Source organism: Homo sapiens, chromosome 6, assembly GCF_000001405.40.
Source record: "Homo sapiens chromosome 6, GRCh38.p14 Primary Assembly".
Classification (NCBI taxonomy): domain Eukaryota; kingdom Metazoa; phylum Chordata; class Mammalia; order Primates; family Hominidae; genus Homo; species Homo sapiens.
The window spans coordinates 146,026,157-146,041,470 of NC_000006.12; the positions used below are offsets into that span (position 1 = coordinate 146,026,157).

A 15,314-nucleotide genomic window follows, 5' to 3' on the forward strand; every position below is an offset into this window, starting at 1 on the left:
CAGCAATGTGATATATTAAAGATGTTCAGCTTTAGGAGCACATATTGACACTAAATGTGGACTTCAGAGACATTACTTTCTTTAATGCTGAAAATCATAATTAAGGGGTATATATGCACAGAAATCTTTGCACATTCACTATATCTCTGGAATATTCTAGGAAAGTAACATTTAGAGCTTATCACACTCTAATGGGCTTATCTAAAATTGAACTTAAGTGGCTACTAGAGGAAGTCAGATACTATGGGACTCTGTGCATACCTGTGGCTTGCTGTTCTTCGAACAGACATATTCCTAGGGTAGAAGCAGAGAGCCATTTAGTCCCATATGTGATGATCAGAACTTACCTCTTCCCATTTTCCTTATGTAAACATGTGGCTACTTCCCGAATTGAGATCATTTAGTCTAAAAAATGTGAACGTTGTTTAGTGCATTATTTGTGGAAAAAGAAAAAAATATATTCTCTTTGGGCTGTCTAAAAAAAAAAAATCCAGAAAACTCTGACACTTAGGGAAAAAAAGATCAGAACCAGAATGAGAAAGACCTTTTGTTATTGACTAGAGGTATTGTTTTCCTTCCTAAGTTTCATGGAACACACTGAAGAGTATTTGAAACTGCCTCATGTGGTTTGTCCCCTCCAGTCTGACATGGCACCATTCCATAATATAATAATGACCTGAGCAAGGCGATTATAAGCTGACCCATAAGGGACCAACGTAAGCTGATCTCTCTGCTCTGCAGATGACACAAATAGAAAGCTTTGAACAAGAGTAGAAAGACACACTGTCACTTGTCTTTTCCCCTGAAAAAGCCGGGCCACATTCTGCTCAGCCAACATGTTCCCAGAGGAATGTGATTTAACTTCCGCTTTTCACACAGTCAGAAGCAACACCATAGACCTGTAGGGAAGGTGATGGCCGCCTGGGAGGAATTTGGATAAGTATTTGTCACTCCAGTATTTTCATGTGACCTGACTCTCATTCTCAATTTAGTTACATCTTGACCTGAAAATGCAGCCACAATATGTCTCTCTTCATTTGGCATACCTTAATTCATAATGGGCATGCCTGTCCTTTCCCTTCTCCCACCCTATGCAGCCTCTTCCTGATTTCCCTTGCAATCTACTAATAGAGCCTTTCTTTAGATGTCTGTACATGTGTTTACACTCTGTTTCCCTCTGTAGGGACTTTACTCGCAGAAAGAGAAAATATATTTGAGTCCCTGAGATATATATACAAAGATATCTACCCCAAAGCAGCCTAGGCAGTTCTCCACTTCTTTGGCCAGATTGTCTGACTATTCACGTATCTGGCAGCTTCTATACGACCCCTCATATAGTAAAGGAATTAATATTCCCCACTTCCTCCTAGTTTGTCTCCCCTCCTCCCTCTATCAAACGACTGATTTTTATACATGAGATAATAGACAAGCCTTGGGTGACCTGTTTTTTTTTTTCTTCCCTCCCCCTCTTTTTCCCTTGCGGTAAAATAGTGCTGAAGAAAGAGGGCACTAGTGTACAGCCCAGATCGCATCCTTGCACCGTCTGGATTAGAGCTGAGGCGTCTGCAAGCCGAGCGTGGCCACGGTCCTCTGGCCCCGGGACCATAGCGCTGTCTACCCCGACTCAGGTACTCAGGTATGTCTCAAGTCCATGTCCTCCAAACAGACTCAGGTGAGCGGACACTTCCTCCGGTGAAACCCACCCACAACGGCAGACAAAGTCCCAGTCTATCAGATTTTCCTCCGGGTCCCAGGCGCATTCTCGCTTATGTATTTCTTTTCGTCCTGTATCCTCAGGAAGAGTCGGGACCAATGGGTGCCTGGGTTTTCTTTCTCCTTTTTCTGCCTCACCTCCTGTGCTCTCCTCGCCCGCTCCCATAGCCCCCTTTTCGTCGACTCTCACCTTGAGAAAAGGAGCAGGGGAGGAACGGGAGAGGGAGCCAACTTCAGCCCCGCAGGCGGCTGAGATTTGGCGCCTCTGTCCCCAAGCGGGTGGGTTTGGATATATACCTGCACAAGCGGTGCAAGGTGATGAGAATGAGGGCGGAGGGGCGGTGGGGACTCGAGTGGAAGGGAGTGTGTGTGTGTGTGTGTGTGTGTGTGTGTGTGTGTGTGTGTGTGTATGGGTAAAGAACTCAGAGGAGGGAGGTTGAAAGAGCAAAGCGGGTCAGGGAATTGCAACTCACTGGTCAAAGCGTCCCTTGCAGGCCCTGCCAGGGAATGTCTGGCTGGACCGAGCACTGTCCAGGGTCCTGAAGGCGGCAGGGCTCAGGCTGCCGCGGCGAGAGCAACCCGGAAGCTCCCCTCCGTTCCCTTTCTAGCAACTATGCAAACCCCAAAGCAAGCGCAGGACCCCCCCTAACCCGTCCACCCACCGCGGGAAACAAGTTACCTTATCTGCACCCCTTCTTCTTGAACATACACAGCAAGCCTGACTTCTTACGGGGGAAACATACCAAACTCCTCCATACGGAGACTTTACCAGGCGTTGCCTTAGTAACTAATGTGGATTTTCTTCAAGCTGGCAAATTTATATTTACAGCTGATTTTATGTCAGGGCTTCTTCAACCCCTCAAAATTAAAGTAAAAGGTGCATCCTTTGTTTACGTTTATTTTAAAGTCGCGCTTCCACCTTTACAATGAGTTTCCAAATTTTCTTCTGAAAAAAAGTTGATCTTTTCCAATCCGGAAAGTTCTCTTGGGTTGAAGGACCTAGCTCCTCCCCTCCTCTCTGCTCACCTTCCCCACCGCCCTCCAAGTTAGAAAGCATGATAGGTTTTAGGGGACCAGGAAACGACTTAAGGTTGGAGGAGCGGGCGAGTTGGCGGGGCTCTGCGCCGCCTGGACCCGTGAGGACAGAGGGGGCAGGACACCCCGCCTTCCTCAGTGACCACAGCTGCGCTCCAAGCTGTTCCTGCAGCCGATATCAGGATGTGCCGAAATGAAACGGACAAGGCAACTGTTAACATTATAGACCCCAGAGTTTTAACACAGGTCCTCTGATGACAAGGTTGTGATTTTTCTCTGTCTTTTGTCAGCAGCATCTAGCTCACCGCTGCCAACACGACTTCCACTGTACTCTTGATCAATTTACCTTGATGCACTACCGGTGAAGAACGGGGACTCGAATTCCCTTACAAACGCCTCCAGCTTGTAGAGGCGGTCGTGGAGGACCCAGAGGAGGAGACGAAGGGGAAGGAGGCGGTGGTGGAGGAGGCAAAGGCCTTGGACGACCATTGTTGGCGAGGGGCACCACTCCGGGAGAGGCGGCGCTGGGCGTCTTGGGGGTGCGCGCCGGGAGCCTGCAGCGGGACCAGCGTGGGAACGCGGCTGGCAGGCTGTGGACCTCGTCCTCACCACCATGGTCGGGCTCCTTTTGTTTTTTTTCCCAGCGATCTTTTTGGAGGTGTCCCTTCTCCCCAGAAGCCCCGGCAGGAAAGTGTTGCTGGCAGGAGCGTCGTCTCAGCGCTCGGTGGCCAGAATGGACGGAGATGTCATCATTGGAGCCCTCTTCTCAGTCCATCACCAGCCTCCGGCCGAGAAAGTGCCCGAGAGGAAGTGTGGGGAGATCAGGGAGCAGTATGGCATCCAGAGGGTGGAGGCCATGTTCCACACGTTGGATAAGATCAACGCGGACCCGGTCCTCCTGCCCAACATCACCCTGGGCAGTGAGATCCGGGACTCCTGCTGGCACTCTTCCGTGGCTCTGGAACAGAGCATTGAGTTCATTAGGGACTCTCTGATTTCCATTCGAGATGAGAAGGATGGGATCAACCGGTGTCTGCCTGACGGCCAGTCCCTCCCCCCAGGCAGGACTAAGAAGCCCATTGCGGGAGTGATCGGTCCCGGCTCCAGCTCTGTAGCCATTCAAGTGCAGAACCTGCTCCAGCTCTTCGACATCCCCCAGATCGCTTATTCAGCCACAAGCATCGACCTGAGTGACAAAACTTTGTACAAATACTTCCTGAGGGTTGTCCCTTCTGACACTTTGCAGGCAAGGGCCATGCTTGACATAGTCAAACGTTACAATTGGACCTATGTCTCTGCAGTCCACACGGAAGGTAGGCATTATATTTGGGAAAGAAGGGTACTGAGAAAGTCAGGGCAATGCATGATGTGCTCCTGGGATCATAGTATTGTTCCTGTTTATTTCTAGCACTGTGGGGAACGGAGTTTACCCTTCTCAGTACTGCCCACCCAGGCATTGCCTTTTATCCTCATTTCCTTACAATTATAGTGTAGGAAAATTGTACCCCATAGAATATCTGAGGATAATAGGAGCTGAAAGGGTATCAAACTTTCCATGCAAAGTGTCCAGCAGTAGATTTGACTTGAATACTTGTTTGCCCTCATATTTTGAGTTTGCGTTTGGAAGGCTTATTTGTCCAAGGTGTTATATTGCCCTTCAGTGACTGGCTATGACTTTCCAGGTGTAATGAGTTAATTCAGTGTGAGTGATTGGCAAAAAGAAGTTACTATTCCACAAATAGGACTTCAAAGCTTTATCTTTCTTTAACAGTTGAAGATTTTCTTTGTCCTCTTGTACCCCTTCTTACATATCCAAAACTTTCCTGTGAATGTAGGATTAATGCAGTCATCTCCCTCAGTATATCAGAAACTTATATTTTTACTTCTGGAGTACCTTAGTTACAAAGAAAAAGTAAGTAATTTAAATAATGTATTTTCTTCTTACTTTATAGGCTAAAATCATCCAGATTCCCTCACTCCCCCAAGAATTATCTTGTTTTATGAGAAATAACACTGGTGACCACTTGGATTTGAGTTTTGGTTTCTAGTCTTTTTTCTTCTAACACAATGAACTTACATATTAGAATTAAAGTTAGATCAGTTATAAAATACTAATGAATGGATAGCAGATATTAGGTTTATAATGTCTTTCTAAAATGCAATAGATTAACCTAAGGTTAAAAGCTTTGATTTTTCCAGAGACTTATGGATGTGAATTTTCAAAAATTTTTTATATAAAGATTTTCTAGACTCTCTTCACCTTAGGTTATATACATTTTTTAATAAAAGGGGATTTCTGAGCTCAGCTACTCTTAAGTCCCCCAGTAGGTTTATGAAAAAGCTGAAGCCCTGGTTATAAATTAACATCTAGGACAATTCACATGTATAAGCTGGCAGAAGAAGACAATCTTGCTGGTATTTCTGTATTCATATTTCTTCAACTCAAATGACTTTCAAGAAGCCATAGGCATGGCTCCATGTTTTTTTAATATTTCCATAATATTCAGTTACTGGCGTGAGGTCTGATTATAGAAATTGACAGCATCCATAGTGAAGTGATTATATGGTTATCATTATTGAAAACATATACTTTATAAAGGGAACAGAATTTTCAGAACAAACATAAATGATATAGGATTACACATTATAATTTCAGATTTTGCTTTTGGAAAAAACTATCTGCTGTGATATTATAACTTTATAATAACTGACTTATGCTTCTGAAGCTTGATTTTTAATCATGAACTGCGTATCTCTTTTTGAACAAAAATTCATTACTTTTTTAAGACTCAAAGTATTAATTCCTTATATTTTAATATTTAACTTTACTACATGTTAATGTTTAGCATAGTTTCTTTAGTGCTTGCTTAAATGAAACATCCTGAAAGAGCAAGTTAAAATGTGTTAAATATCATCATTGGATAGATCCAAAGATGATGGCAAAGAGAATGGCAAAATCTAGATTGAATGTGATTTATTTAAATATTTAATAATATTTCCCCCATTGAGCTAGATAATTGATTATTAATATTGGAAGTATAAATTCTTTCTTCAGGAAGAAGTAATGCTTCATTATTTTTAAACAGTGGTTTTATTTTCCATATTTCATTATAAGATTGTTTTATTTGGTGAGAGGTGGCTAATAGTGGGTTGCTTTCTGAGGAGTAGAATTATGTTTTTGGAAAATGAATTGAACATGTTTTCACTAATTTTGCTGCGAAAGGACTAATATTATAATTTTGCCCATGTGTTAGTTTGGATTACTATGTTTCCTTTCTGCCTTCTGATTGGTGTTGTATGGCAAAGACAATGTCTCCGTACTATTATAGTAATTGATTCCAGACTACATTGTGTTCACAGAACAGCATCATAGAAATATGTGGGGTTTATTTTATTACCAAGCAGTTACACCATTCACCTTGCCATTCATATATAATACCTTGTTTCTTCTCAAAGGGAATTAGTTACTTCTCTTATTAAACGTAACATCTGTAAAAACTAAATTGCATTTCTTTCCTTCTATCTGGAAAGGAATTTTGTGTAAGGTCCCACTGAAGATTCATTTTTCCTGAGGTTTTGCCCTCCTGCTTTTCAGGGCCCCATAGTGTACTGGCCTACAGGCACTTCCTTGGATCATTTAGTAATTTTACTGCTTTCAGACTGATGGGGTCGCTTATTGGTGACAGTTCCCTGTCAAATAGCAGAGAAGACCACATATCAGGGTTGTCTCTGTCGTCTGAGCACTATTCAGCAAGGAAGCCAGTTTGTCTGGATATTGGCAACTTAGGGCTTAGAAATTCTGGGGCCTCTCGTGACCTTCATCTCTCCTTTCCAAATCAGCCATTCCCTAGTCAATTCATTATCATCGTTTCTTGTATTAGAAGTTAACCAAGAATAGTTAATACCAAAAGCACTAAGTGACTGGACTAGTGTACCTTCATTTCTGTAGTTAATTGTGAGATTATCTTGAAATCATATTGTTTTTGAATGGTACAGTTGTTTTTATATTACTTTTTTTTATATTGAAGCTAAACTTGCAGATATTTTCTGTTTTGTTTTGTGTTTTAACCAGTTACAATTTAGTTTTTATATTCTCTTACATTCTTTTCAATCTTATATCATATTATTTGTACCACACTTGATACATGACAATTATCAATTTACATAAAATGAAAGAAAATCAGTACACATAAAGTTACCTGCAATGCAATAGACTCTCCAGAAATTGTTCATGATTAGCTCTGGAGGCAAATGTTAAGATGAGCCTGTCAAGGGGGAGGCAGGATATTGGAGTAATGGAGCCTTATCCACAAATAAAGTTTGAATGCACTTTGGAGCAAGCTGCCTACCTGGAATGTGAGTCTTTAAATATGCTAAGTATATAGTAGAGAAATAGCCTACCACTGATAAGAATATCTCAGCCAAGGACACTATATTTTGTTCTTCTGATAAAATACAGATTCCCCGTCAAAAAAACAAATTTATTATTTCAAATGATTTTTGAAAACAGTACTTAAAAATAACTGTAGTTAATAAAATTCAAAGCATTGAACAAGTCCAATAAAAATGTTCTTTGAGTATGTAGCTACAAGAATTTTTTTTGAGTGGATAAATTTTCATTCATTACTTTTATGTATTTATTTATTTATCTTAAGCCTTTCTTCTAGTATTTTGTCTCAGTTACTTAGATAAGTATTGATATAATAATGAATTTAGTGATGCTGCTTCCCTTATTAAAATATCCACTTTAAGGTAAACTTTTCTTTCCAGTTAGATTTTGATCTTGGTGTGACATTTTTTTGACATTTGCTTACATTTTATATAAAATTGGCCTTTTTGAGCTTCTTTCCAAAATCTGATTTTTTCCTTTTTAAGTACTTTTTTATTTGATATAAAACAATTAAAAAGTCTAATGACATCAGAAAAAAGTCCTCCTAAGTCATAAATACATACTTTGATTAATGCAATTACCTGTAATAATTTTATATCTACTAAATATCATATTTCCTATCTATGTACCAGTAACTTTCTATATATCTTTCTTGTCTTGATTGCAACCTACTTCAAAGGAAATTATCTTAATACATTGCTCATTTTATCATATAGTAAGAAATAGGAGTGTTTTGAAAGGTTATTCAGGCCAACTAATAAAAGATGCTTAGAACATCACATTACGTGCTTGCCCACGCTCAAAGCTTTCTAATTGTGATTAGGGTTTCTAATTAGAGTAGGAGTATATCGGAGTTAAATTGAGAGCAGAATTTCACCTGACTTTTAGTCAGTTCTTCTATGTAATGACCTAAAACAGATTTCTTGAAGTTTCCACCAATCCTTCATTGAAGACTAGGAGTCATCCAAAACATTCAAGCTTCTTTTCCATGTGACATTTATCATCAATGAATAATCTCTCTTTTGTAGTGTAGCTCTCCAGTTCCTTCACTCATGCATTTCATTTTTTACTTCCCTTACCATCATAGCTGACTAGAGTAGATCTTACATCAATTAACATCCCAAGGTCTTTTCAGAAGTGCTGCTATTAATCCATATCTCCTTCCTTTTATGCTTGAACAGTTATTAATTTTGTTACTGTTACCATTAGATTCAAGAGGAGGACTTGAATTTTTTCCCTTTAAATGTAAAATTATTAGCTTCAATCTGCCTTTCTAACATCAGTAAGTTCTGGGATTTTGATTGTTTAATTTATCTTAGTATTCCAGCTTTGTGTCTCCAGGATTTAACCATATACGTTAAAACCTGAATAAGATAAGGGTCGAAAGTAAAGTCTCAAACCCTTTCACGAGCAAACTACCTGGCTAATTCTGGTGTTCACTCAGCCTATTATGAATTTCTTCTATACAGTGCTTTTCCTCCTCTTACTATACTACCTTGCAAATGTATAAATGGCTATATGTAGTTTAAATGAAAAGTCATCACAACAGATGACTTTAAGTAAAGATTTACTGCATAAAAACTTTAAATAACAATTTTGAAGACTTAATTTCGGTTACTAAGTAGTTTTTACTTTAAGGGGAGTGCAGTTTAAATACATGTAAAGTAAGTAAAAGCAATCACAGTATAGACATTTATAAACATGAGTTTATTCAATTGTAGGGAACTGAAAGAATGTATTAGTGGTGCAATTATCTAGAGAAAACCTGGAGAAAAGGGAATTTTGGTTAGAGTTTTGTTTGGAAACATAGCATTTGTAAAAGAGACAGTATTGAAAGTACTGTAATGGTGTGAAAAAAACAGATTTGCTTATCTGGAGGAAAGAGTCTGGGGTAAGAACTAATAATAAAAACAGAAGTAAGTCCTAATATTCTGTGATTACATCAGTCTTTATAGACATGAAGGACAAGTAATGGAGAATCTTGAAGCATGTGACAAAGAGTTTTGGTTTCAAGAAAGATACATCCAAGCACAGTTAGACATGTGAACTTTGGCCAAGAGAACATATATTATTGGCAAAAGTTGGTGAGTGGACGAAAGAAAAGCCAGATATTGTTACGAGATACTTTATTTGTAATTTTTTAACAAGTGTTCATATCCAAGTAAAACCTTGTTTATCCATAACCTTGATTCTCTAGCTGTCTACTTTATACTTGAGAGTTGGTCTCTTTAAACACCAACATTTACATTTAAAACATTTTATGAGGTGATCTTTGCAAACACTACTGTAAGGTCCCCTAACTTCTTTTAAAGACAGTGCTCAATTTAATGGACATTTTCCTTGAATATACCAAGTTATCGTGAACATAAATTTTTACCTTGCGCTGGAATATGGTGGTAATCTTGGAGCCTGTTAAAAAAATATAAGGCCATTTATTATTACTCAAAATGGCCACAAATTGCCATACTTAAAAATTTTTATCTTTATTTTTTCTTTTATATCTTGGCTGGATTTATTAAACTCATTTTTAAAGTCATTAATCAGTATTTAGCAAACAGCTATTATGTGCATAGAATTAGAGTGAAATCCAAAGACGAAAAAAATGACACTTTCATTATTTTGAGTAAACTTGAACTCTTTGTGATTCCTTTGCCACACAATCACCCTGTGACTACGTTTATCTTGCTGCAAATTTTATAAGAAGCTGTCCTTCATAGGGTAGGTGGTGATGGCAGCTTCCATTTTATGTTTCTACCGTGTGGCTTGGCAGTAGCCATCCTTCTACAAGTATTAAAATTTTTGCCCTTATGATATAGGGAGCTAATATACAATAACTGCTTTGTGGATTTTCAGTAACTGGGCAGTGACTGGAGTGATGGGTTCACAAAGAGACTTATCAAAAGTCGTGTTTTCGGCATACACTTTTTTAAGAACACAGAGGGCTGGGGAACCACATCCAGAAAAGAATAGTTTGGTGAACACCTACAACCACTAAAAAAACTCATGGCACATGCTGTTCTGATATATGTTGGAAACAGCATGTCAGTAGGAGAAAGTTGTCAATTTTCAGAGAAGCTGTAGTTGAAAACCAGAGTCAAGACAAGGCATAAAGCCTTGTCAAAATGTCACTGTCTTATGCAACAGAGAGTTATCATTAGATTCTAAAATTATATAGAAATATTTGCTACTTTTTCCTGTTTAATTGTTCTCTATGAATGTCTACAACATTTAAAATCTTAACTTACATGAGAAATTATAATTTTAATTACCTTCTGTATTCCAGAAAGCTTTACTCTCTTAAACTTAAGGCATTGTAGTACCAAATAGAACATTAATGTTTTTATGAAGAGAATTGCTTCTCAGAAATCTCCAATTATCAATTTTAGGATTATCTATTTTATTTATTTCATAGCCAACAAATTAAATATTCAAGGCAATTATCTAAATATCCAGGTAAAAGCCTTAATTTGTAGTAGAAGCACAGGATTTTGATAGGCAGAAATTCTTTGATTACCTAGTAACTAATTTGCCTTCTAATAAAGACATTTATAAATAAACACGTGACTATTATGCATCACATATTTTTCTTGGTGCTAGTAACACATAAAGTAATAAAAATCAATAATAATAACTATTATTACTACTAATATTTGTTGGAAGAGACATGTAAATATATAGACAGTTATAGGCTCATGGGTTAAAAAGAAAATGTTTAATTACTGTTTTGAAAAATGCACAAAACATATGGGAAATACTGTATGCATGCACATCTCAGTTTCATTTGTAAAATGGGAATTATAATCACTACCATGTTATATTCCTCACAGCAGCTTTTCAAAGAACAAGAAGATGGTACCCATAAATACATTTCAGTTGTTTTTCTTAAACTGCCACCAAAGCGATGACTTCTTCTCAGCTGATGAATATTAAGCAAGTCCAAGAAGCCAGTTAATTGGATACAGATTTTCGACCCTAAACCTAGTAATATAAGATTAAAATGAAATTCATGATTAAGATAAAGGTGTAGCATCTACTATAGACTTTAGGAAACTTTCTTGTTACAAATGAGAAAACAAAAGCCCAGAAAAATAAAACAAAATGACTTGCTCAAGATCATAAAATTCATCAGCAGCAAAGCTAGGACTAATTTAGCTTTGTTTTAGATACTTTCTCAAGCCAAAGTTTTCTTTCTTTCTTTCTTTCCTTTTTAACCCTCATGCACGCCTCTCATGTGAGGTCCATACTATTTAGCTCAACTGTGTCTTTCCAACTTTGCTGCTGTCATTTAGCAGCTTCTAGGAGATTCCTCTTCTGAAAACTCACTCTGCTGTTAGTCTTCCTCTTAATGTCAGCTCTTACCTTAGTTTTGGATGACTCCAACATTCATGTGTTTGTCCCACCAATACCTATCCTCATAGCTCATTGATCTCAGCTCTGTGTTCCTTGCCTTCTCTTTAGCAACCCACTTACCCTGACCACAATCTGGTACCCTGGCCTTGCCAATAACTATTTTATTTATAAATTTTTAAACATGAGAAAGTCACTGAAAAATAGAAGCCTCTCCTTTTCTTCAACTTCTTTTGCTCCCACCTCACCTGCTCTCCACATTTCTCTGGAAGGTCTGAATAAAGCCATTTTCTCAGCTGATCTGGTTTCCCTTCTGCATCTGAGCAACTCTACCTCCATATTTGTGCTTGTTATCATCTTGTAATAAAAGTCCTTTCGCAGAGAAAATAAACTTTCAATGTAGAGTGACTGCTCCACATGAAGCTCTATTTCAGGAGATTATGAATTAACCATTTTTTTTTCTCCAGCTCCTTCAGGGCAGAAATGTAAAATAAGACCAGAATTAAACACCTTGTTAAAATGAAAGAAGAAAGGATGCCTTCTCTATGAGGGTTGTGGTTAACAGTGGGAGATGACACATGGTCAGACATCTCTGTGACACCATCTCTACCACAAGTAACTAGAAGTGGTATGGAGTGGATAAGGATGAGAAAATTAGAGAAGGGTGGCTAGAGTTGAAATCCAGAGATCTGGAATAGGATTGACTCAAGGGATTAATAGAATTAGGCATGCTTAGAGAGCTATCAGGGTGAAGTATACAGAAAACAGTCCCCTAAGTTTATTATACAGATAAGATGCAACAGTGCTCCATATAGGGCTAGGTAGATGTAATAGATGTAAGATGTCATTATTGTTGTCATGCTATTCTAACCTTAATTAGGAAGATGCCCTTAGCTTAGATGAGCCTGTGTGAAGTAAATACAGGGAAGTTCTGTGGTGGAGATGTGAAAATAAAGAGGGAAAATGCTGATTTACTAACACTGAGTGGCGCATATTCAACTTCTCATTCTCTCCCTTTATAAAAATTGCACTCACAGCATGTGGCCCTCAATGCAAATCTTTTGATTGGACAGCATATTCCACAGCTATTGTTAAACAATCAGAGACAGTTTCCTCTGTTCTCTGTGGTGCTATAACACATTTTATAATTTGTTTGTTATAAAAGGTAGAACAAAAAAATCAATAAACAAATTGCTGATAGTATGTTCAAGAGAAAAAAACTTTATGAAAGATTTTAAAAGGTTATATCAGGATATTGAAATAGTGGAAACAGCTTATAATAAAGAAATTCAATATCCTTTTTTTTCGATAAATAAATACATTATTTGTTATTTTCAGGTTTTGGTTAACAGGTACTACTCTACTGGCAGAGAAGAAGTCATGTCCAGATTCCTATCTCAATTTTTATGTTTTGTAGCACATTCTTTGGTTTGACCAATGCTATAGTCATTGAGGAGTAGAGATAGTGGAATTATAGTCTTCCTTTTAAGAAGTTCACCACATGGTGATTACTATTCAGTTTTGCTAAGTGCAACCATAGGAGTAGGCATGAGGTAGAGAGACAACAGAGAGAACTGTGATTAGCTCCCTCTGGTCCAGGGAAGCAGTGAGGGAAAGCTCATAGAAGGTCCCCAGAAAAGGTGACATCTGAAGTTCACTATATCCGAGGAAACAAAGGAGTAAATTCAGTAAAAGCACTGACATAGAAAGCAAAATATGCTCAGGGACCTCTAAGAATATCATTAACTCTAAAGTATATGTCCTGGGAAAATGAGTGGGGAAGACCAAACTGAAAAGAGAGAAAGAGCCTAGGTCATGATGGGACATACTTATCAAGCCAAGAAAATTAGACTCTTGGAAACATGGTGAGCCAGTGAAGAATTTTATGCAGGAAGAAATCAAGATCAGATTATATTTTGGAAAGGGCATCTGGAAAGCTTTGGAGAAGACAGATTAAGAAAAGGAGTCAAATTGGAAATTAGGAGACAAATCTGAAGGCCATTGATGGTTGAGGGAAGTGGAGAAGGAAAGGCCAGTTCAATTAATTAATTTTGTCAAGAGATGATTAGAGTTTTACTAAAGAAAGTGTCAATGGAAAAGGATAGAGGAGAATGAATTTGACTTTCTATGTAGCAGGGAGGTTAGTGTTTAGTGAATGATTGGTTATGAGAATCAAGGAAAAAGAGAAGTCTAGAATAAGCCGCAGGTCTATTTTGTAGGAATAAATAGGGAATAAAGAGAAATCGCAGACTGGGAAAAAATTAGTTTAGGCTGTTTGAGTTTGTGGTATCCATTGGACAATAAAGTCAAGGGATCCCATAGGCCACCGATCTGGAAAGAGAGTTATATTTGAAATTTGTCAGAAAATATCTGGTTAAAACCATGAAAATTGATGGGATTGCCAAGGGGGTAAGATATAAAACACAAAAAGATGGTCAAGGGCAGTACTTTAAGGCATGTGAAATGAGAAAGAGTCTACAGAAAAGGGAAAAAGGACAGTTTAAAAAGTAGAAAAAGAAACAGGAAGAACCTCATGTTATGAAAGCCAATGGAGGAGACAGTTTTGATAATAGAACAGTGACAAAGAAAGCTGATGGGTAAAAGAGGAAGAACTATAGAAACAGTGTTCTGTACTAGTAGCGATACATGAGACTGTGTAATTTATATGCCACAACAACAGTGTTAGAATGTTCTGAATTTTTATACTTTTACCTGTGAATTTTATGCCTTCGGATGATGTTCTTATTGCATGTTAGTGTCCTTTTCTTTCAGATTGAAGAACTCCCTTTAGCATTTCTTCTAAGAAAGGTCTGGGGGTGATGAATTCCCTCAGTTTTTGTTTGCCTGGGAAAGTATTTATCTCTTTTTTATGTTTGAAAGTTAGCTTTGCTGGGTACAGTATTCTCAGTTGACAATTTCTTTTCTTCAGTGCTTTGTCATCCTGCTCCCTCCTGGCCTGTGGTTTCCACTAAGAAGTCTGTTGCCAAACAAATTGGAGCTCATATATGTTGTTTTCCTTTCTCTTGCTCCTTTTGGGATTATCAACTTTTGAAAGTTTCATTATTATATGCCTTGGGGTAGTCTTATTTGGGTGAAATCTGTGTGGTGTTCTCTACCCTTCTTGTACCTAGAGATTTATATTTTCTCTAGGGTTGGGGAGTTTTCTTGTATTATTTCTTTATGTGATCTTTCTACCACTTGCCCTTTCTCAACTCCTTCTTGAAGGCCAATGACTCTTAGATTTGCCTTTTTGAGGCTATTTTCTGGATTTCAGAGGCATTCTTTATTCCTTTTCTTTTTTTTTCTTTTTTCTCCTCTGAATGTATTTTCAAATAACCTGTCTTCAAGCTCATAAATTCTTTCCTCTGCTTCATCAGTTCTGCTGTTTTAACCCTCTGATGCATTTTTTTTGATTCAACTAAAGTATTTCTCACTCCAAAATTTCTGTTTAACTTTGTAAATTAATTATTTCAATCTCTTTGTTAAATTTCTCTGATAACTTTATAAATTGCTTTTATGTGTTATCTTGGAGTTCACTGAGTTTCTTTAGAATTCTTATTTCGGATTATTGACCTGAGAGCTCACATATTGCCATCTCATTGGAGTCAGCCACTGCTCCTTGCTTTACCCATTTGGGAAGGTTATGGCTCCCTGTTTGCTGGTGTTTTTTATGAATGGATATCTGTGTCTTATTGAAAGGTTAGTTATTTATCCCAGTCTTCATTCCCTGTGTTGGTGTGGTCTGTCTAGTGATGTGTATTTACAGGTTCTATGCTGGTTGCCTGTTGAGTCCCCTTAGCCCTAGACAGCTGCCTTTATTTTGGCACTA

The 15,314-nt window shown here is 38.1% G+C and overlaps 1 protein-coding gene across 7 annotated transcripts in view, besides 2 other annotated features; it reads left to right on the forward strand.

Annotated features, from left to right (window-relative positions):
• Positions 1,551 to 15,314, forward strand: part of GRM1 (glutamate metabotropic receptor 1) — a 409,895-nt gene continuing 396,131 nt past the window's right edge. For 2 of the 7 annotated variants that reach the window (NM_001278065.2, XM_017010784.2), the window contains exons 1-2: positions 1,551 to 1,672; positions 3,042 to 4,061. In NM_001278065.2, coding sequence (NP_001264994.1) covers positions 3,362 to 4,061 — 700 coding nt within the window. In that variant the 5' untranslated portion in view covers positions 1,551 to 1,672; positions 3,042 to 3,361. Of the gene's footprint in view, positions 1,673 to 2,905; positions 4,062 to 15,314 lie in introns of those variants that run through there. The other 5 variants (NM_001278066.1, NM_001278067.1, XM_011535782.2 and 2 more) reach the window with 4 other exon arrangements.
• Positions 2,724 to 3,224: an enhancer, noted in NCBI's record as "H3K4me1 hESC enhancer chr6:146350016-146350516 (GRCh37/hg19 assembly coordinates)". NCBI's record gives its function as "activates a minimal SCP1, AML or CMV promoter by ChIP-STARR-seq in primed H9 embryonic stem cells {active_cell/tissue: H9 hESC(primed)}" and the evidence as "EXISTENCE:reporter gene assay evidence [ECO:0000049][PMID:30033119]".
• Positions 3,225 to 3,725: an enhancer, noted in NCBI's record as "H3K4me1 hESC enhancer chr6:146350517-146351017 (GRCh37/hg19 assembly coordinates)". NCBI's record gives its function as "activates a minimal SCP1, AML or CMV promoter by ChIP-STARR-seq in primed H9 embryonic stem cells {active_cell/tissue: H9 hESC(primed)}" and the evidence as "EXISTENCE:reporter gene assay evidence [ECO:0000049][PMID:30033119]".